Consider the following 21,338-nt stretch of genomic DNA (forward strand, 5'->3'; position numbering starts at 1 on the left):
TGGGTGCATTGAAAATTCATTCTATTCAGTTAAACCAAGGGATTATACCGTATTCTCTACATAGTATTCAGAGTGAAAAATTCCCATTTCTAATTTTGAGGCTTAAATGTTCCAAGGTTTTGTCTGTGTAATATTATACTTGTAATTATGGTGGCATTTGGATTTATCAGTGTGTGTAAGTATGTTTATGAGGAAAGGAGGAATGGGGATAGAGAATGAGCAAGGAGGGATTCTTGTCACACTCCTTTATCCTTGTTCAGATTAATAAGAGGCCTATGTTGCACCTAGATGATAAGTAGGACAGATAATTTCCAGGAAATATAAAGAACATTCTTCAGTTCACATACCTAGCAGAAACTCAGCAGTTAGAATATACAGAAAGTGTTACGAAGTAGAAGAAAATGAGGCATGGTGTGGAAAAGTGTTGGTGATCAGTTAGAAATATAAACTCAAACGAAGAATAAATGTTGTTCATTTATTTTTCACCTAGCATTTAGCATGAGGCTGTGCACATCATAGGTGTTCAGGAACTACTTGTTGAGTGAATGATTGATCCCAGAATGATCAAAGTAGACCTATCAGAATATAAAATTAAGTCAATCATAGGAAGCCTCATGTAATTCTCCCTTTAAGTTTGTAAAAAAGCAATAACCAGGAGGAAACACGATTCAGACGTAAAGTCCAAGTACAATATAAGAACCAAACTTATATGTTGCTCAGTTAAGGGACATATGCTACAAAGCTCCTCCTGGTCTGATAGCTCTTTCACTCAGATCTTTGGGCCTATCTTGTGCTGCCTTTTTCCTACCACTGGATATAATGTGCTTGATTATGTATCTTACCTTCTGAAAAGACTCTACTACCAGCTGAGTGAAAGGGACTTGAGTCTGTATAATGACTTTACGTTAGCAAATAGTTTTGAACTTCTACCTGTTAAAAGACAGAATTACAACAAATCTAGTTTAGTAGATCTTCATTGGCTTTTTTTGTGATTCTAGAATCTAACAGCAGTTTGGGCCAAAATGGTTCAGAATGTTCCACCCTACCACATGTGCAGGTTATATTTACAGGCAGAGAAAAAGAAGTTACCTACAGAAAACAGAAGCGAGGTACAGAGACAGCCCCATTACATGGCATGCATCTCATACATGGTTTGAACAGCTGCCTGTGATTGGCTGAAACTCAGCTATTTGTTCCTAGTTAGGTTTTCACTTTGTTTTTGGTACTGAGTTAGGTTGCAGTTAGGAGCTTGTAGGGAGGACTCCTTGGGCCAGTTTCAATTTTATTTAACATACCAAAGAGCATGACTCTACAGCATCTCGTATCTCAGTGATTAGCCAAAAAGAATTTTTGTCTGTGCAGTTTCCTGTTAAAGTACCCTAAATGGGGTTAATAGCATAACCTACTCATTGGCCTTCAGTGAGGCCTTGATGTTTGCAGATGTGTTGTTGTTATTAGGTGAAGGATTTTTATTCTCCATTGTACATAGACTTTTGCCACAGTGCAGTCACTTCACTTCACTTTGGTGAAGACTGAAATGTATTTCTCTGAGACAAAGATGGCACTTTCTTTTAGGCACATTGGGCAATTAACACATATTATTGATATCTAATTAATTGGTTAAACATATTGAAGTAAATATTAATTTGGCAAAGTAGTGGATTTTCAATAGGAGATAGAAGGCTAGAGAGTATGATTGACAGGGTTGCTATTTTATAGACTGAACATACAAAGATATTTTTCAGAGAAACGCCAGACTTCCCCATTGCAATAGGTAGCCTGCTGACAATTAGGACATGTGACTGAGAACCTCTTGAGGTGAATCAGAACTGGAAAAATATATTAGATTCTATCCAGAAATGATTATTTTCTTCGGTGAGAAAGGACAAAGCAAAAATGAAAACTCTAGAAAAATGCAGAACTCTCTATCTCTACTGAGTAGCCTAAGTTTAATAAAGCCCCAAAAAGAGAGTCATAAATTTTTAAATCTTAGCCTTTAAGCAAAAAGTTAATAACCTTTGTTAATCAAAAAATATATATATAATTGTTCATTTTTTCTTCATCATTTCTATATAATTAGCTGTGTGCATATATACTATAATGCTAGAAAGCTCTTATAATGTATCACTTCTGGGAAGGAATAAAATAATCATCCCACTCCACCTTTCTTACCTTGATTCATGGCTCAAATATTTCTATTCTTGGAACATTACTGCAGCTTTGGTGCTAAGAAAATTGCTGGTAGAGGAAGAATGATTCTGCGGCCCTTCATCCTTCACAATTTTTACACCATCCCATTGTCTAACTTTGCAATCTCGCCATCTAGTGTTCAAAGTTTCTCAATACCATAGTTTATAAAATGCTTCACTTCATTAAAAGCAAAACAGTAAAGTGCTAAGCAAGTTACCTTAAAAACAGTGTGTTTGGGAATAGTCAATGTAATAAATAGATCATCAATGAAACTTTACAGCAGATTTCTTGTTAAATGTGTTTCTTGTTTATCATTATTGTCTCATTTATTTATTGTATTTATTCATAAATATTTGATAGCTTCTGTTTATATAGTCATGCAAATTATACATAACATACTCTGTATATTGAAATATATACTTATTTATTTTATATTTTATTTTTATATTCTTTTCTTTCTGTACTACCTATGGCTAATTGTCATTGACTCTGAAGGCAAACAAATCTGAGTCATGATGGTAGATTGGGTTAGAGTGGAATCAAAAGGAAATACTTTACTGGAATATTTGACTGCTATGCATATCCTTCCCCAAGCTGTGGTTTTTTTACTACTAATGACTGTCCCTTCATGGGGCAGATATAGCAAGAAAAACACAGAAGGCTTTGATGCACATGAAATACGGTGGTTTGTCAGAAAACAAACAAAAATACTAGTGTCTTCCTTGTCTTACCATTGAGACTATTTTAGGTCTGTCTTTTCAAACAATTTTTTGGAATTTAGTTTTAGGAATTAATGAGGATTGCAGTTTTGAAGATGACCTGGGAACACGATTTTTATTTTCTTTACAAGGTTTTAAGATGACCTCTTCTATAGTGTTTATCAGTTCAGAATTTTAGAAAGAAAAACATATATTTATTTAATTATCAAGAAAATAAAATTAGCTAGTTAAAACAAGCCCTTTCAGATAACTTCCATCATTTTAACATCTATAAAACAGTTGACACTATGCCTGCTCTGAGAGACCCCAATGTCAAAATGGAAAACCTCAGTCCTTACCCTGAAGGAGGTGAAGTCCTATGGTCCATGAGGTTGCTGCCTACAGCTCAGACCTTACCCACTTCCACTCTGGGCTCTGACCTTCTTAGCCTTTGTCAATTCTGCAAGGACAGGAGGCTTCCTCCCACTTGAGGCTGTTTTTCTCCCTTGCTTTGATCAGAAATGCCTTCTGTCCTTACACACCCTTCGGATCTTGGCTCCAACATCATTTTCTCAGAGAAGACCTCCAAACCCTGTCTTGTTATTAGATAGTATGCAATAATTTTCCTTATTTCCACTCACCTTATTTTGTAATCACATACTTGTCTTATTATCAGCTTAGTATCTGCAGCCTTGACTAGGGTACAAGTAGTGAGCAGGCTAGAATAATGCCTCTTTTATTTAAACCCCTGAGGTCCTAGCCCAGGGGTTTCTATAATACCCATTAGGAGTAGATGTGCAGTAAATATTTGATGGAATCAGCCCATGGGCCCAAAATTGAGAGCTGAGAAGCCCATTGTCTCAGCTCATATAATTTCATACAGTTGGCTCTGCTTCCATGCCACCGCTGGGATAAGAGAATATTCACTGAGGCAGGAAACCCCAGTGCCTGCCTCCCAACTTCTCAGAGCACACCTCTCTGGGGACATGTCATTTCCTGCAGCACAGCTTGGGAGTGAGGTAAAGAATTCCCTGAGTTGTTCACTACTACTCTTCCCGGTTCCAGGAATCAACTCTCCTTTCAGACTTTTGCTTATTCTCCCCTGAAATACAAAAACAAAACAACTTCCCACACACAAATTAAAACTCTATTCTTGCTGTCTTTACTATCATCCATCTTCATGGATTAACAGGAAATATAAGATACAGAAGACAAAATATAAATTAATATTTTAGTAAGTTATCTTGCCACTCACACTCAGAAGAGGATACAAATAAATTATTCAAGTTATGTAAAGGACGTTAAGTTTTCATTGTTTATTTTTATAGCATTTCTCTTCTTTTCTAGAACATTCTAAGGATTCCCAGCCATCTTAGAATATTAGACAAGCAATTATGCTTAGAATCAATTATTTTCAAAATGAGCTCTGTTAAAAATTTATAGCATGTCACGCTAAGCTTCGAGTATCTATAGGCAAACACCAACACCTTCTCAAAAATGAGTCCAACATTTTGAGAGATGAGCGAGAATTTAGTAATTCATTTTGATATTGAATACACACATATACCCATCTATAGATTTGGTATTTTTTTGTAAATTTTATTACAGTATATTTTATTTAAGATCTAATATATTCTCATTGTTTTCTTAAGTTAACACCTTTGCTTACCATCAAATACACATAAAGAAAAATGCTTGAATGTTCAAATCACACTGAGGGTTCTTTAATTTTTTTTATTTTTATGGGTACATAGTCGGTGTATATATTTATGGGTTACGTGAGATATTGTGGTACAGGCCTACAGTCTGTAATAATCACATCAGGGTAAGTGGGCTATGCATCATCTCAAGCAGTCATTTCTTTGTGTTATAAGCATTCCAATTATACTGTTTTAGTTATTTTTAAATGTGCAATAAATTATTGTTGACTGTAGTCACCCTGTTGTGCTATCAAATACTAGATCTTATACATTCTACCTTACTATATTTTGTATTCGTTAACTATCCCCACTCCCACCCCACCCACGGACACATACACTTATCCCTCCCAACCTCTGGTAGCCATCATTCCACTCTCACACTGAGGATTCTATAGATCCTTCTAGGCCTTCTTCTCCCCACCTGTGGTGGCATCTAATAGGCATCACATAAATGAGTGCTCTCTGAAAACTGGGTTGATTCATTCAATTGCCAACTTGGATAGAATTCTGACTCCTGGGCTCTTGAAAAACAATAAATAGAATGGTATGAAGTTTACTCCAAAGAATATCTTCACACTTCTGTCTCCACAGCAACACAGATGTACACACGGTGGCATCACTTCTTAAGCTGTACCTCCGAGAACTTCCAGAACCAGTTATTCCTTATGCGAAGTATGAAGATTTTTTGTCATGTGCCAAACTGCTCAGCAAGGAAGAGGAAGCAGTAAGTTGATGCATTTATTTCCAAATAAGCTTTTGTTTGGAATTTTTTTCTGTGTTCTTAGTCTTAAATCTGTAAATTTCCATTGCCCTATCCCGGTGTTACTCTCCACTATCCTTTGAATTGACCTCACACACACTGAGACTTTCCGTATACAGCTCAAGCACCATTTCCGATCCCCTCTCTGATCAAAAAAAAAGAATATGGCTGAATAAATTAAATCAGCACGACTTGCCGCTTTCTTTCCCTAAATGATAAATGCAGTGCTATGTCAGGCCACACATCACACAAAAGAAGTGACTGCTGTGTCTCATAATCTTTTAATCGTGTGGACCCAAACCACTTCAAATAGTGGCTTCTATACAAAATCCTACCTACTGCTATTTCTTTAAACAGCTTTGTTAAGGTATAATTTTTATACAATACAATCGCCCATTTAAAATGTATGATTCAGTGTTTTTTAGTATATTCTCAGAGTTGTGCAACTCTGAGATATTCGATTATCACCAAAATCTAATTTTAGAATATTTACAATATTTTTATTGCCTCAAAATAAACCCCATACCCTCTCTTAATTCTCCTTTTTCCCCAGCGCTTGGCAACTACTAATCTATTTTCTGCCCCTATAGATTTGCCTATTCTGGACATTCCTTATAAATGGAATCATTCAATGTTTTTTTGGTGTGTGTGCACGATTGGCTTCTTTCACTGTTTTCAAAGTTTACTCATGTTGTGCCACTTATAAGTATTTCATTCCTTTTAATTCTAAACAATATTCTATTACTCATCCATTCATCAGAGAGACCTTTGGGGTTTTTTTCATTATTTGGCTATTATAAATAATGCTGTTGTGAACATCCACGTACAAAGTTTTGCATGGATCTATGTTTCTATTTCTCTTAAGTATATACCTAGAAGGTAGAATTGTTGGGCCATATGTGACTCTGTTTTTCAAGAGGGCTCCAGCATTTTAAATTCCCACCAGCAATGAGCGCAGATTCTGATTTCTTCAAATGTCTACCATCACTTGTTACCTGTCGTTTTTATCTTAGCCATCCTAACACGAGTAAAGTCGTATCTCATTGAAGGTTGAATGGCATTTCCCTGATGGCTAATGATGCTGAACATCTTTTCATGTGCTTATTGGATATTAGTATATTGCCTTTGAAGAAATATCTATTCAGATTATTTCCCCATTTTCAGTTGGGTTATTTGCCTTATTATTAATAGTATTGAGTTGTAAGAGTTTATATAGTTTAGATATATGTCCCTTATAAATATGATTTTAAATATTTTCTCACATTCTGTGAGTTGTCTCTTCATTTTATTGATGGTGTCCTTTGAAACACAAAAGTTGTACATTTTGATGAAGTCAAATTTATCTATTTTTAATCAGTTGTGGTTGTGTGTCATATCTAAGAAGACTTTGCTTAATACAAGGTCACAAAGAGTTACTCCTGTATTTTCTTCTAAGACTTCTATAGCTTCGGCTTTTACATTTAGAACTATGATTCACTTTGAGTTCATTTTTGTTTTTGGTGTGAGGAAAGGAACAAACTTAATTCTTCTTCATGTGGATATACAATTGTCCCAGCACTGTTTGTTAAAAGACTATTCTTTCCCCCATTAGATTTTCTTGGCACTCATGTCAAAAACTGCTGCCTATTGTTTTTTTTTTTTTTTTTTTTTTTTTTTGAGACAGAGTCTTGCTCTGTGGCCCAAGCTGGAGTGCAGTGGCGGGATCTTGGCTCACTGCAAGCTCCGCCTCCAGGGTTCACACCATTCTCCTGCCTCAGCCTCCCAAGTAGCTGGGACTACAGGCGCCCGCCACCAAGCCTGGCTAATTTTTTTTTTTTTTTTTTTGTATTTTTAGTAGAGATGGGGGTTTCACCTTGTTAGCCAGGATGGTCTCGATCTCCTGACCCCGTGATCCACCTACCTCAGCCTCCCAAAGTGCTGAGATTACAGGCGTGAGCCAATGCACCCGGCCTAACTGCTGCCTATTTTTATAAATGCAGTTTTATTCCATTTGTTAAATAACATTGTCTGTGGCTGCTTTTGCACTACAACAGAAGAGGTGAGTGGTTGCAAGCAGAGACCATTTGTCCCATAACGCCTCAAATATTTACTATCTGGACCTTTATGGGCAGAAGAAGAAAGCAAATTACATTATCCATTGGCATTTCTGCTATCATTTACATTTTAGGGGAAGTCATATAATGAAAAGAACCAAATAAATTCGTCCCTTGTGAAATTTCCAGAAAGATCACTTTTTTCAATTATCCTCCCTCCCCAAATGATGTATCCTAAACATGACCAGCTCTGAGAGACTTTTGTCAGTAGATGTATTTGTCTATGTTCTGCACATGCTGAAACTGGGAAGGATGCTCACTACATCACTTACTCTTCTTCAAATAATTTTATTAATAAATGAGCTTATCTTCTCTTTTCAGTCAATTGTGAGCATATGTTAAAAATGATAACAGCTTCACTTGAATCTGTTTCTCCACAAATAGTACTTATGGAGATATTTTAAATCCTTGTACATCTTTGAAAATATATCTAAAATATTCACTGTGATGGTGGTAAGTTTTCGGGACAAGATCTTTCACTGATAACATGTGAAACTAATTTTTTAAAAAATTATATGGCCATTTCGACTTGCTTTAATTCTAAGGCCAACGTGTAGAAAAATAATATTTATTTTCTTCTTTGTACTCAGGGTGTTAAGGAATTAGCAAAGCAGGTGAAGAGTTTGCCAGTGGTAAATTACAACCTCCTCAAGTATATTTGCAGGTAAGAACTGTCCTAAGGACAAACGTAAACAAGACAAGACATATTTAGCCTGATACTAATTTGTGTTTGACAACGAATAAAATCACTCAACTACTTCGAGCCCTAGTGTTGGCCTCTGTAAAATTAAAAGATTGGACAAGGTGATCTCAGAGGCTTCTTTGAGCATTAAATTGCTTAACTTTGAAATGTGATGTTTTTGAAGTTTCTCTTGCCTCTACACACTAAAGATAGGTTGTTTTGAACTTCAATCAAGTTTTTTGTACTGTTTCAGAAGTGGTATTGTTTAGGAAAAGAAGCATGCCACCTTGGCATGAGAAACATCTGCATGGGAGCCAAGATTGTGCCATTGACTAGTTGCCTGTCTTATGCAGTTCTCTTATTCTTTCTGAGTCTCAGGGTCCTAATAGGTAAAATGGTAATGAAAACACATATTTCACATAGTTGTTTTAAAAATTGAATTATATTTTAAATGATTAGTATATAGTAAGCATTCAATAAATGTTATTTTCTTTCCATTTCTCTCCCACCTCAGGTTTCATCAAAGACATTTGTAACTGAATTCTGTTAGAAAAATAATTGTGCCAGAAAAATAATTGTGCCTGGAAAATATACCTCTCAATGTATAACTCAAGACCTGGGATGGGATATGCCATATATGTGCTCCTGTTTAAGAAACCAAATATGCAAAATTGAAACAGAATAAATTTAAATAGAGAGTGATGATTGGCACTACAAGTCACTGCAGGGTGTCTTACATGATAGCTTCCCAGTCCATTTTAAAATAAAATTCAAAGTTTTAATTGAGTACAGTGCATCATTTATGTGTGTGTTTGGTGTTATGATTAGATAAGCGTTCAAGGGACTAGGAACTATGAAGTCTAAGACTAATATCAGACATTTTGGTGTTAATTGTCAGTGTAACTGAGTAGAAATTCCAAGTCCTCCCACAATAAGTTCCTCTAGTGATGATTATACTTAGAAGCAAACAGTACCTTGGGTTCCAGAATTTGAAAAAGCAGGAAATCATGCCATTGACACCTTAGACTTATTAATATGGAAGCTTATAATCCAAACATTTTGAACTAATTCAAGTTATTCTAGTGGGTGAGACAGAGATTACATTCTCCTTAAGTAAAAGGGATGAAAAAGCTTCTTTGGAACCATATTGTAAGTCTTTATCTCCACAATAGAAATGCCTAACTTCTCATGAAAGATTTAAGCAGATTTTTAATTTCCGGTAATTTAAATAAGAAATGCTAGTTTGACTTTTTGCCTTCAGTGTTACTATAGTTTAGGCTGTATAACAGTAGTGAATGTGTGGAAATAGGCACCTTTTTTAAAAGTCATGATATAGTAGTTAAGTGTACGGCCTCTGGTGTCACATCCTCCGGTGGGTTCAAGTCTTAGCTTTGCCCCTTACTAACTCTGTCTTTGGAGAAGATCCCCCCTCTGGTACCACATGACTCTCATCTGTAAAACAGAGACAATAATGGTACCTACCTCAGAGAGATGCTTTGAGAATTTAATAAATTAGCACTGTGACAGACACATACTAGTACTATATAAATATGTTATTTTAATTTTTCATTATTTCCTCTTTATCTCATCAGTACAATTAGCAAGCCATGAAATTATAGAAGCTCTTGTATAAATGAAGAGGAGGTAGGGAATGAAGGAATGCTGAAAGATTATGAAAACAATCTCTCCTATTATTTCATGCCTCTTACTTTTTAGCACCTAATAAATAGAAACAGTTTGCATTTGCAATTTTTGGTATCATTAGAACTGTGTTTTAATTTCTACAGCATTTTATTTCTCTTTTTTTTTTTTTTTTTTCCGAGACCGAGTTTCACTCTTGTTGCCCAGGCTGGAGTGCAGTGGTGCAATCTTGGCTCACTGCAACCTCCGCCTCCCGAGTTCAAGCGATTCTCCTGCCTCAGCCTCCCAAGTAGCTGGGATTACAGGGGCCCGCCACCGCACCCAGCTCGTTTTTGTATTTTTTTTAGTAGAGATGGGGTTTCACCATGTGTTGGCCAGGCTGGTCTCAAACTCCTGACCTCAGGTGATCCACCTGCCTTGGCCTCCCAAAGTGCTGGGATTACAGGTGTGAGCCACCATGTCCGGCCTGTATTTTATCTATCTCATTTCTTAATATACTATAATTTTGAAGCTCACAAATTACTCCACAAAAAGGGTTAATTCCTCCTGTCTAAAGAAGGCATCCTACCAGCTGATCTTATTACAGTCCCCTAATTGAATAGAGATATAAAATTATTACTTTATTGAGGGATTGGAAGGGAATCCACATTGTTGACTCTCAAGTCCATATTAGTATTGTCCAAACACACCTGTTCCTTTGATTGACAGAGGAAATCAAAGCAGGCCAGGCCAAGACAGATAGTTGATATGATAAATAAAGTTTGATCCTTTCTAATTTGCAATACATTGTCCCTGTGTTTGAGTGAGAGATGGGTGAACATCCAAATAATTCTGTCTCCATAGTCATCTTTGAACATAACTTTAGTTTGTAAATTTTCTAATGATCGATTTTTCTTCCACTGGCAAATTTGATCCCATTGTATTTCAATCATATGCTTATACTCCATAGATTCTTGGATGAAGTACAGTCCTACTCGGGAGTTAACAAAATGAGTGTGCAGAACTTGGCAACGGTCTTTGGTCCTAATATCCTGCGCCCCAAAGTGGAAGATCCTTTGACTATCATGGAGGGTAAGTAAATGATTATCTTATACCCTTATCAAAAGAAGAAGTAATTATCTCTTGACTGGCCAGAATCTACTCATCTCTGAGCAAACCAAGGTAATAAGTGAATACATGGCAACTCCGTTTATTAACTGAAGTTCTTTAAATGTAAAAATCTTCCTTTTGAAAGTCAGATATTTTTTGTTTGTGTTTACTAAACATAAAATATACTAAACGCCTCTTCATTAGCCTTACAAGAATAAATGAAACCTTCATAAATCATATGTAAAGTATTCAAGAACTGAAAAAAACTACCTCACTTCGTGAGTTCACTACAATTTTCAGAAAATTCAAAAAGTTATTATTTTCAGTTAATATACATTTTTATTAATTTTGATTTTATTTGACTGACTTAGGGAAAAATGGTCTTTTATAAGACAATGCTGCTTGTTTATTTGTAGGTTAAAACATGAAAGAATTTTTGTTGTTCAAATTACAAAGTGTCTCAATTATTTTCCACAATGAACTGTACTTTGTGTTTTTTCCCAGCAGGCCTAGGTGCTCTATGTCATTAATAGCAACATTGTTTGCTACAAACTGGACTAATTTATGATTTCAGAATTTAAAAGAAAAAGGAAAGGAGAAACAATAATTATTTTTAGATTCACTCTAGGTTTATTTAGTCTAGAACAAAATGTCCCCCTCAGTCACCTGGATTTTACTACCTGATACCGTTCCTTTCCTTAAAATTCCAATATTTTCATTTTTTTAGATCTTACGTGTGAGAAAAAAAGCTTTTGCATGTCTGCCTGCATCACTTCAGTTTGATTTCCTTTGTTAAACACCAAGGGCAATATAAGTTGAACATCAGATTTTTGGCAATGAGATAGTTCAGAAAACTTAATTTCTATCTGAGGAGTTTAGCAGACATTAGAAAACATGAAATTTGAAGCTACAAGAAGCTTGGAGATACATTAGTCCATTGTTTTTTGAAATCTTTATTATAAATTAAAATACGTGCAATACAGAACACCACCACACACATGCACACACACATACACACATCTTAATGAATTATATAAAACAAGTCCTCTACAAATAACTATATATTTAAAAATAGAGAACTTTTCCAGGCATCCCCAAAACTCTTCCTGTGCCCTGACCCAATCCCAGTGTCTGTCATCCTAATATCCAGAATTTTATAGCAATTTCTTTGTGTTTCTGTGTAGTTTTATCACCCAAATGGACTTCCCAGACATTACATTTAAGTTTCCTATTCCTTTACTTGATACCTTTTAAGAATTTTTTAATATACAGCACCCCCTATAATTTGCCATTTGAAAAATCATGTTATTTCACTTGTAGAGTTTCCCGTAGTCTGGATTTGTTGATCCACGGATTTGTTGATTCATGGTGCAATGTAATATATTAATATTTCTCTGCCCTCTGCATTTCCTACAAGTTAGGACCTGGATAAAATCCATGTTTGATCTGCTTGGCGTGACCTTTGATTGTGTTGTGTCCTTTAATCAGGAGACACATAATGTCACTTCATCTCTCTTTTTGTGAACTTAATGAAATTCCTAAAGCTATTAATTCGCTGGAAGCTGAAATGCTGATATTGTAATTATGTGGTTTTTTCAACTCGTTATTGTGGTAAAACACACATAACATGAAATGTATCATCTTAACCATTTTTAAGTTCACAGTTCAGTAGCATTCAGTACTTTCACATAGTCTTGCAGCCATCACCGCCATCCATCTCCAGAGCTTTTTTACATTGCAAAACTGAAACTCCCTACCCATTAAACACGAACTCCCCTTTCCCTCTCCCCCAGGCCCTGGCAACTACCCTTCTGCTTTCAGTTTCTATGAATTTGTCTACTCTAGGTACCTCATATACCTGTTATACTTGTTGTGACTGGCTTATTTCACTTAGCATAATGTCCTCAAGGTTCATCCATGTGGCAATATTTTAATTTTTAAATTAATAATTTGAACACTTTAAAAAATTTTCTTCTCATCTACTGCTTAGGAACCCAATGGTATCTTTAAAAGGCAAGACAAATGCTGCTTGAATCTTTCCCTTTACTTACCAGCTTTTAAAGCACATAAACAGATTTTTTAACTCCTCTAAAAATGAGTACTATTTTCTTTGTCTTCCCAGTATACGTATTATTGTGAATATTTAAAAAATATCATTATAAAGTCATGTATTAAAATCAATTTGCTTGGTCAATACATTGTAAGTACTGTCCTTCACTGAATCTCAAATTTTCCCATCTTTGGCCAGTGGAAGCATCTTCAAGTTGTCTTCTTAGTTCTTTTGACAGGCCTTCCTAGTTTGGGGTAGCTATTTTTCTTTGTAGTATGACAAGATTTCTTAGGCTCATATGTTTTATGCCCCAAACCTGGAATCAGTCAATTTCCAAAAACTCCTGACTTCTTTTAGTGGGGAAATGATATTTTAAGGCAAGCTAGATGCTTAGTGCCAGTGATACTCATTGCTACTGGCTTGGTCATTGTTTCTAGTCTTTTTAGTGGGCAGAGCTAGTAGATATAAATGCACACTACATGTGTACATATTACATGCATAATAAACATATATACACATTTACCTATTAAAGAAAAAGTGCCTCACAAGTTCACATTAGTTACAATTCAAAATTATAACTACAGGGTTTTTATTTATTCCTTTCTCTTTACAGTTTTATTCCCTTTCTTCCAAGGAATCCTGGTTTGCAAAGACACTGAGGATAACAGAATTAGAACATCTCATAATTAATCATTTGCTCTATAACTCGTCACACACACAGTAGTCTCAGGATAACAATACCAACACCAGTATGGTTACTGCAAAATTCTTTACATGTGCTCTTTTAATCCTCCTTTTATTCTTTTAATATTTATACTATATGCTTTCAGAATATATACCCATTATACACTATTCCCTCTCCATTTTAGTCCTCATTTAATCTTTGGAGATATGTATGTAAATCTATCCACTTAATGTTCACTACTGGTCCTTGTATTGATGTCTTTCCAGCCTAGAGATTCTCAAAATATAATATTCAGATAACTGGGGGCCCCAGAGATGCATTCAGGAGGTCCATGGCCTCAAATGTATTTTCATAGTAATATGAAGATGCTGTTGCCCTTTCACTGTGTTGACATTTGCACAGATGGTGCTAAAGCAGTGACGGGTACAGCAGCTGGCACCTTAGTACAAATCAAGGCAGTGCCACCAAACCCAACTAGCACCATATTCTTCACCACCACGCATTTACAATAGGGAAGAAAATTCCAATTTTACTTAGGAATGTTCTTACTGAACAGTAAAATATATTAATTGCATTAAATATACGACCTTGAGAACACATTTCTTTCATATTAGGGTGCAGAGACGGCTGTCTGTATAAAGCACTTCTGCATGCTCCCTCTAAAAGTAACACAATGATTGGCTCAAGGGGAAGCATTTGTGTGATATTTGAGCAGCACTAACTGATTTTTCTTGGAACTCCATTTTTATTTGAAAGGACAACTGACAAACTACAGTTATTCAGACTAGAGCATTTAGCAGACACATTCTCAAAAATGAACTAAACGTTTCACTTCAAGAAATACAGCTGTCAGAGTTTGTTGCCATTGACAGAATTTAAACTTGCATGTGACAAATATGTATTCAAAACCTTGAGCTTGACAGCTTCCTAAATTCCTAAGCACATTTCTGGTGAGATTAGTGTTGATATTAACAAATCTATAGTATCTTTGATACTATAGAAATACGTGTGTCAGGATTTGGAAGATTAGCATAACTCAGTGAATTTTCCAAATGACATGTTGTCACAACTCCATGTGTGTGTAAAGGATCCATTCAGGTTAGCTTTTCTGACTTCACAGAGCTCAATCTGTTTTTTCCCATCATATCAAAAAATATGACATCTTGCTTCCTGAGATGTCCTGGCTTTATTGCCTTGTTGATTTTCATTGGTCTTTCTTCCTGTTTTTTCATTTCTGTTCTCCTAGTCCTTCCCAATTTTCACCTCTCTCTTAGCAGTATCCCCTCCATGCAAAGCCCTGTCTGGAAGGGAGTCCTGGCTGGTCAGTGTGGAGAGATCTTAGGGGCTGGATGTCTCACTCCTTCAGACCTTGCCATTGGCCACCTCTATTGGACTAGGTGCAATCCCTCCCACTTTTAGCCGCTCTTCTTAAATTAACTCTTCGCATTTTCCAGTGAATATCTATGGGGCGCTTTGGGGATATTCTATTTCCAGGACCATCAGAGCCCCCATTGCTCCTCTTTCCTTCCCTCTACAGAGACACTGACATCATGCAGGCCTTGTGGAAATGGGGATTTGTCTCGACCAACATGTATTTGGGGCTTTTGGGAGATACCCTGTCAGCTAGTTTTTTGGAAATGTTGCCCATGAGTTTTGACTTGGCTATCTAGTTGCTCTGTTTTTATGTGAGAATTTCAGGAGATCCAATACTGTGCTGCCATCATCTTCCTAGAAGTCAGTGTTTTTGTTGTTGTTATTCTTTAAACTCTTGTTGCAAATCTTGTTATTTGAGGAGAAATCTTTTAAAAATTGCATAGTGTCCCCCTGCCTCTTTTGTGGATAAGAAACCTGATACCCAATGAGAAAAGTAAATTTCTCTAGGTACACCAATAATTGTGTAAGGGATAGGTGCACAAGTAGATAAGTTGTTTTTGTTTTGTTTTGTTTTGTTTTTGAAGTACAGGAAAAATGGAGAAGCAAAATAATCCCATCTGTTATCATAATTTGTTGGGGGTCACGGGAAGGTCTCCCCATTCCCTGGGAGTGTAGTTGTTTCATTTAACCCAGGATCAATCAGGCCCCAGGGGAAACCAGCTCACAGCAACCAAACTTTCAGGAGACCTCACTGAGCACATAAACCACCTAGCTACATCCTGGCCCACTCTTCAGCATGAGTCAGTATTTAAAGAAAAAGTGTTCTTGCATCCAAAAATAATTAGAAACAAGTTAGATGTTTATTGTGTCTCTAGAGAAAATACTAAATCTGACTGCATTCTTAATGCATAGAAAGTTGTTTTTTGTGTGTTTTTTTAACTTGTTTTATTTTATTCTATTTTAAGTTCTGGGGCACATGTACAGGATTTGCAGGTTTGTTACATAGGTAAACATGTGCCATGGTGATTTGCTGTGCCTGTCAACCCATCACCTAGATATTAAGCCCAGCATCCATCAGCTACATTTCCTGATGTTTTCCCTTCCCCCCCTTCTCCCAACAAACACCAGTGTGTGTTGTTCCCCTCCCTATGTCCATGTGTTCACATTGTTCAGCTCCCACTTGTGAATGAGAACATGGGGTGGTTGGTTTTCTGTTCCTGCATTAGTTTGCTGAGTATAATGGCTTCCAGCTCCATCCATGTCCCTGCAAAGGACATGATCTCATTCCTTTTTATGGCATGGCTGCAAAGTATTCCGTGATGTATATGTACCATATTTTCTTTATCCAGTCTATCATTGATGGACATTTGGGTTGATTTCATGTCTTTGCTATTGTGAATATTGCTGCAGTGAACATATGTGTGCATGTATCTTTATAACAGAATTATTTATATTCCTTTGGGTATATACCCAGTAATTGGATGGCTGGATCAAATGTTGTTTCTGATTCTAGATCTTTGAGGAATCACCACACTGTCTTCCACAATGGTTGAACTAATTTACATTCCCACCAATAGCATAAAAGTGTTCCTATTTCTCTGCATCCTTGACAGCATCTATTGTTTCTTGACTTTTTAATAATCACCATTCTGACTGGCATGAGATGGCATCTCATTGGAACTTAAACAAATTTACAAGAACAAAAACAAAAACAACCCCATTAAAAGTGGGCAAAAGACATGAACAGACGCTTCTCAAAAGAAGATATTTATGCAGCCAACAAACTTACTTTAAAAAGCTCAACATCACTGATCATTAGAGAAATGCAAATCAAAACTACAGTAAGAAAGTTGTTTTAAAGTACTCTGTTATTGTCTCCCCTGCTCTCAAAACTCTCCCAAATCCATTCCATGCAGTGTCCCTCAAAACTCTCCCAAATCCACCCAAGCAGGGTCTCTTGTCTTCTTCTGCCCTTCCTCATTCTCTGAATCTACTCATTTTCTTACGTCCACAAATAAGTTTCTCCTCTTTTCTTATTCATTCTCCTGATTTATATAAAATTAGATCATATCTGAGGGTAGAATTAACTCTTCACAATAATAATCTTTTAAAATATGTCTTAATTTATCATTCAATAAATATTCATTAAGCAACTGCTTTATGCAATGCTCATCAGTAAGCCTGCGAATGCAAAGATGCATAAGGAAAAGTTTTGCCCTACAGGAACTTACAGCCTAGCCTAGTTGCAGATTTGAACCACTAAATATTCAATTATAGTATGAAAAATGTTATATACAGGATATGTCACAGGCCTATGAGATCAAAAGTAGGGAATTATGGTATTTTTCTTAGAGGTCGGGGAACCATCACAGATGGGACATTTAAAGAGTCATTCCACCAGAAAAAGAAATATAGATTGGTAAGTGGGTGAGTGTCTTAGTCCACTGGAGTTACTATAACAAAACACCATAGACTGGGTAGCTTATAAAGAACAGAAATTTATTATTAAGTTCTGAAGTCTGGGAAGTCCAAGATCAAGGCACCAGCAGATAGGTTTCTGGTGAGGACCCATTTCCTGGTTCACATACAGCTGTTTACTTGCTGTGTCCTCACTTGGCTGAAGGAGTGAAGGAGCTCTCTGGGATCTCTTTTATGCTCGTACTAATCTAATTTATGAGGGCTGCCATGACCTTGTTATCTCCCAAAGGCCTTACCTCCTAATACCATCACACTGGGGGTTAGGATTTCAAAATATGAATCTTGTTGGGGACACAAACATTCAGTCTTTAGCAGAAAGAAAGATCAGGGTGCATCCAAGTGAAAATTTTGGTAAGGTCAATGATGTCGGGGCATATAGGGAAGATTGGTGAAAGAATGGCTGGAAAGACTTCACAATATTTTCAAGGCCTTATAAACCATTCTGCATTCAGGAATCTTTGATAACTATTGAGCAAGAGCATGTTGACATTGGATTTTTTTGTTTTAGAAAAACAACTCTTTTATTTTACTACTAATTTTTTTCAAGATGGAGTCTCACTCTGTCACTCAGGCTGGAAGGCAGTGGTGCAATCTCGGACACAGCAACCTCCACCTCCCAGGTTCAAGTGGTTCTCCTGCCTGGGCTTCCTGAGTAGCTGGGTTTATAGGCACCTGCGACCACACCCAGCTAATTTTTGTATTTTTAGTAGAGATGGGGTTTCACCATGTTGGCCAGGCTGGTCTCAAACTCCTGACCTCAGGTGATCTGCCCACCTTGGCCTCCCTGAGTGCTGGGATTAGAGGCATGAGCCACCATGCCCGGCCAGAAGAGTAACTCTTATACTCAAAGGAATATAAACATTCTATTATAAAGACACATGCGTATGTATGTTCATTGCAGCACTGTTCACAATAGCAAGGATGTGGAATCAACCTAAATGCCCATCAATGATAGACTGGATAAAGAAAACATGGTACATGTACACCATGGAATACTGTGTAGCCATAAAAATGAACAAGAGCATGTCTTTGCAGGGACATGGGTGGAGCTGGAGGCCATTATACTCAGCAAATTAACATAGGAACAGAAAACCAAATACCTCATGTTCTCACTTATAGGTGGGTGCTAAAGGATGAGAACACATGGACAGAGGAAGGGGAACAACACACACTGGGGCCTGTTGGAGGGTGGATAATGGGAGGAGGGAGAGGATCAGGAAAAATAACGGGTACTAAGCTTCATACCTGGACAATGAAATAATCTGTGCAACAAACCCTCATGACACAAGTTTACCTGTGTAACAAACGTGCAGTTATACCCCTGAATTAAAACAAAAGTTTTAAAAAAGAAAAGTAACTCTGGTAGCTCTGGGGATTGGCTGAAAAAGAGAGGTAGTGATCAGACTGCAGACAGGCATTATCTCTCACAGGCTCTGACTTCTGAGATCAAATTTGTATTTGTGCTCATGCCTCCTAATCATTTGCTGTGCATTTTATACATGCACAATTACAATTCAATCAAATATACTCTAAAGCTGAAGTAACCCCTGAGATACAACAGGTGTTTGCAGCATTAGCCTGATCTGAGTGAGTGTAATCCAAGTGAAATGGTTTTTTATTTCATTTCAGTAAAAACTGCACCAGTTGGAAAATGAACCTTACATATTTACTAACCCATAATAGTTATTTTTATTTTATTTTCTTATTTTGGTGGATGTTTAAGTGAATGAAACTCATTATTCTTGGCTGTTAACATACTATTTGCAGTCAACTGACATGAATTCTATTGAAAAACATGGAGACTGCTTTATTTTTTAAATACTGTCTTTTAAAATTATCTTCTACTTGAAAAATTATCTATACATTCCTTACCATTATTCTTCTTCTTGCTACCATTCAAATATTGATGTAGCCATTAATGATATCCTTGCTATATAAGCATATCCATATCTATATAATAGATATGTGCTTTCAAGGAAACCTTTAGAATGTTTTTTCAGCATTATTTTAAAATACTAACAAATAATATTGCATTCTGCTTCCCATCATGATGAAGGAATAGAGATTGTTCACATTTAACAACTAGAAAACCAGAAAACTATATGAAGCAGCAGTTTTTAGACATTGGACAACAGGCAATACATGCCTATGATTCATAAGAGAAAGAAAACAAATGAGGGGAACCCAGTTATTGCCTCAGATTACTACTGGGAGGCAGTTTTCACATAGTATCACAGGGAATAAAAATGCAAGCAAAATCCAGGTATTGCTGAGCTGAAGAGAGTAAGGTCAGACAATGAGAAGCCCAAGGGAGCTAGAATTTGGGGGAGTAGAAAACAGGGAAGAGAGAACTAGACATAGAGCGTCCAGAAATCTACGGAGAGTAGATGAGAACTGATTTATGTTTGCATGAGAGGACACTACACAAGACTTGAGGGAATTTACCAGAGATGCTTAGTCTGAACAACTTCTGGGCCTCAAACTGAGCTTGAAATAATTTGTCTTTCCCACAAAAAGAGTGCAAAGTCCTGATAATGAGGCATTGTGTAGAGTTCTCACAAAGGTATTACCTTAGTGCTAAGATTTAAATTATGGATTAGTCCTCACAAATTTTAAAGCATCTTTTAAATGATCCAGTGGGAGCTCAGGGAGGAAGGGAAGGATGAATACCAGGAGCATAAGGAATTTTTAGGGCAGTGAAACTATTCGGTATGATGCTGGAATGATGGATACATGACATTATGTATTTGTCAAAACCCATAGAGCATACAACACAAAAAGTGATCCCTAATGTAAACTATGGATTTTAGTTAATGATAATGTATAATATGGGCTCATCAAGTATATCAAATATACCACATTAATGCAAGATGTTAATAAAAGGGGAAACTGTGTTTAAAAAGGCGGTGGAGAGGAGGTATATAGGAACCGTCTGTACTTTCTGCTCAATTTTTCTGTACACCTGAAACTGCTCTAAAAATTAAGCTTATTAACATATAATAAATATGATTCAGCTAATCCCCAGATGCTTCACTCTGTGCCAGAACGAAGTCCAACACATCTAGAATATATATTTTTTTCAAAATTCAGTAACCAACTGTATAAAGCCCACAATGTTTTCCATACAACTAAAAACTACAAGGCATGCAAAGAATCATAAAAATATGAGCTGTAACCAGGACATAAAATAGCTAATAGAAAAAGACCCAAATGTGATTGAGTCATTTCTGATAGCAGACAAGGATATTATTATTATATTCTGTAAATATGTTCAAGAAGGTAAAGCAAAATGTAACATGATGAAGAGATAGATCAAATGTATTTTTAAAGTCCAAATAGAATTTCTAAGGATGAAAATTATCACTTAAGTGAATATTACACTCGATGAGATTAATAGCAGGTTAGGAGAAAACTTAAAAAGAATAAATTCAGACTTATAAAAATTTTGTCTTCATAAGAGAAACTATCATGAAGCACAGAGAAAAAATACTCATTTTTTTCACAGAATTGATGAAAATTACAAACACAAAGATCTCAGAAGCTCAGAATTAACATAAAGGGAGCCACACAAAAGCACATCATAAAATGCTGAGAACCAATTTAAGAGAAAAGCTTAAGAGCAGACTGAGGAACAAAGGACACATTACATACAGAAGAACAAAGAGATATGTTGCAGAAGATTTCTTGTTAGAAATTATATAACCAAAAGAAGTGGATCAAAACCTTTGAAGTACTGAAAAAAATCTATTAACCTAGATTTCTATGTCCAGTGAATATATTTAAACATTTTTCAAATATAAAAAGGAGCTAAGGTCATTTTGAGAGAAACAAAATCTGTGAGTAAATTCATCACTGATGGTCTTGTACTACAAGAAACGTTAAATAGTTGTTGTGGCAG

At 36.2% G+C, this 21,338-nt stretch overlaps 1 protein-coding gene across 8 annotated transcripts in view; it reads left to right on the forward strand.

Moving 5' to 3' along the window:
- Window positions 1-21,338, forward strand: part of ARHGAP24 (Rho GTPase activating protein 24) — a 527,517-nt gene that overhangs the window by 491,707 nt on the left and 14,472 nt on the right. For all 8 annotated transcript variants that reach the window (NM_001025616.3, XM_024454238.2, XM_047416235.1 and 5 more), the window contains 3 exons: window positions 5,180-5,312; window positions 8,032-8,105; window positions 10,714-10,835. In NM_001025616.3, the coding sequence (NP_001020787.2) occupies window positions 5,180-5,312; window positions 8,032-8,105; window positions 10,714-10,835 (329 nt within the window). The remainder of the gene's footprint in view (window positions 1-5,179; window positions 5,313-8,031; window positions 8,106-10,713; window positions 10,836-21,338) is intronic.

The sequence above is a fragment of the Homo sapiens genome, chromosome 4 (genome assembly GCF_000001405.40).
Source record: "Homo sapiens chromosome 4, GRCh38.p14 Primary Assembly".
Classification (NCBI taxonomy): Eukaryota; Metazoa; Chordata; class Mammalia; order Primates; family Hominidae; genus Homo; species Homo sapiens.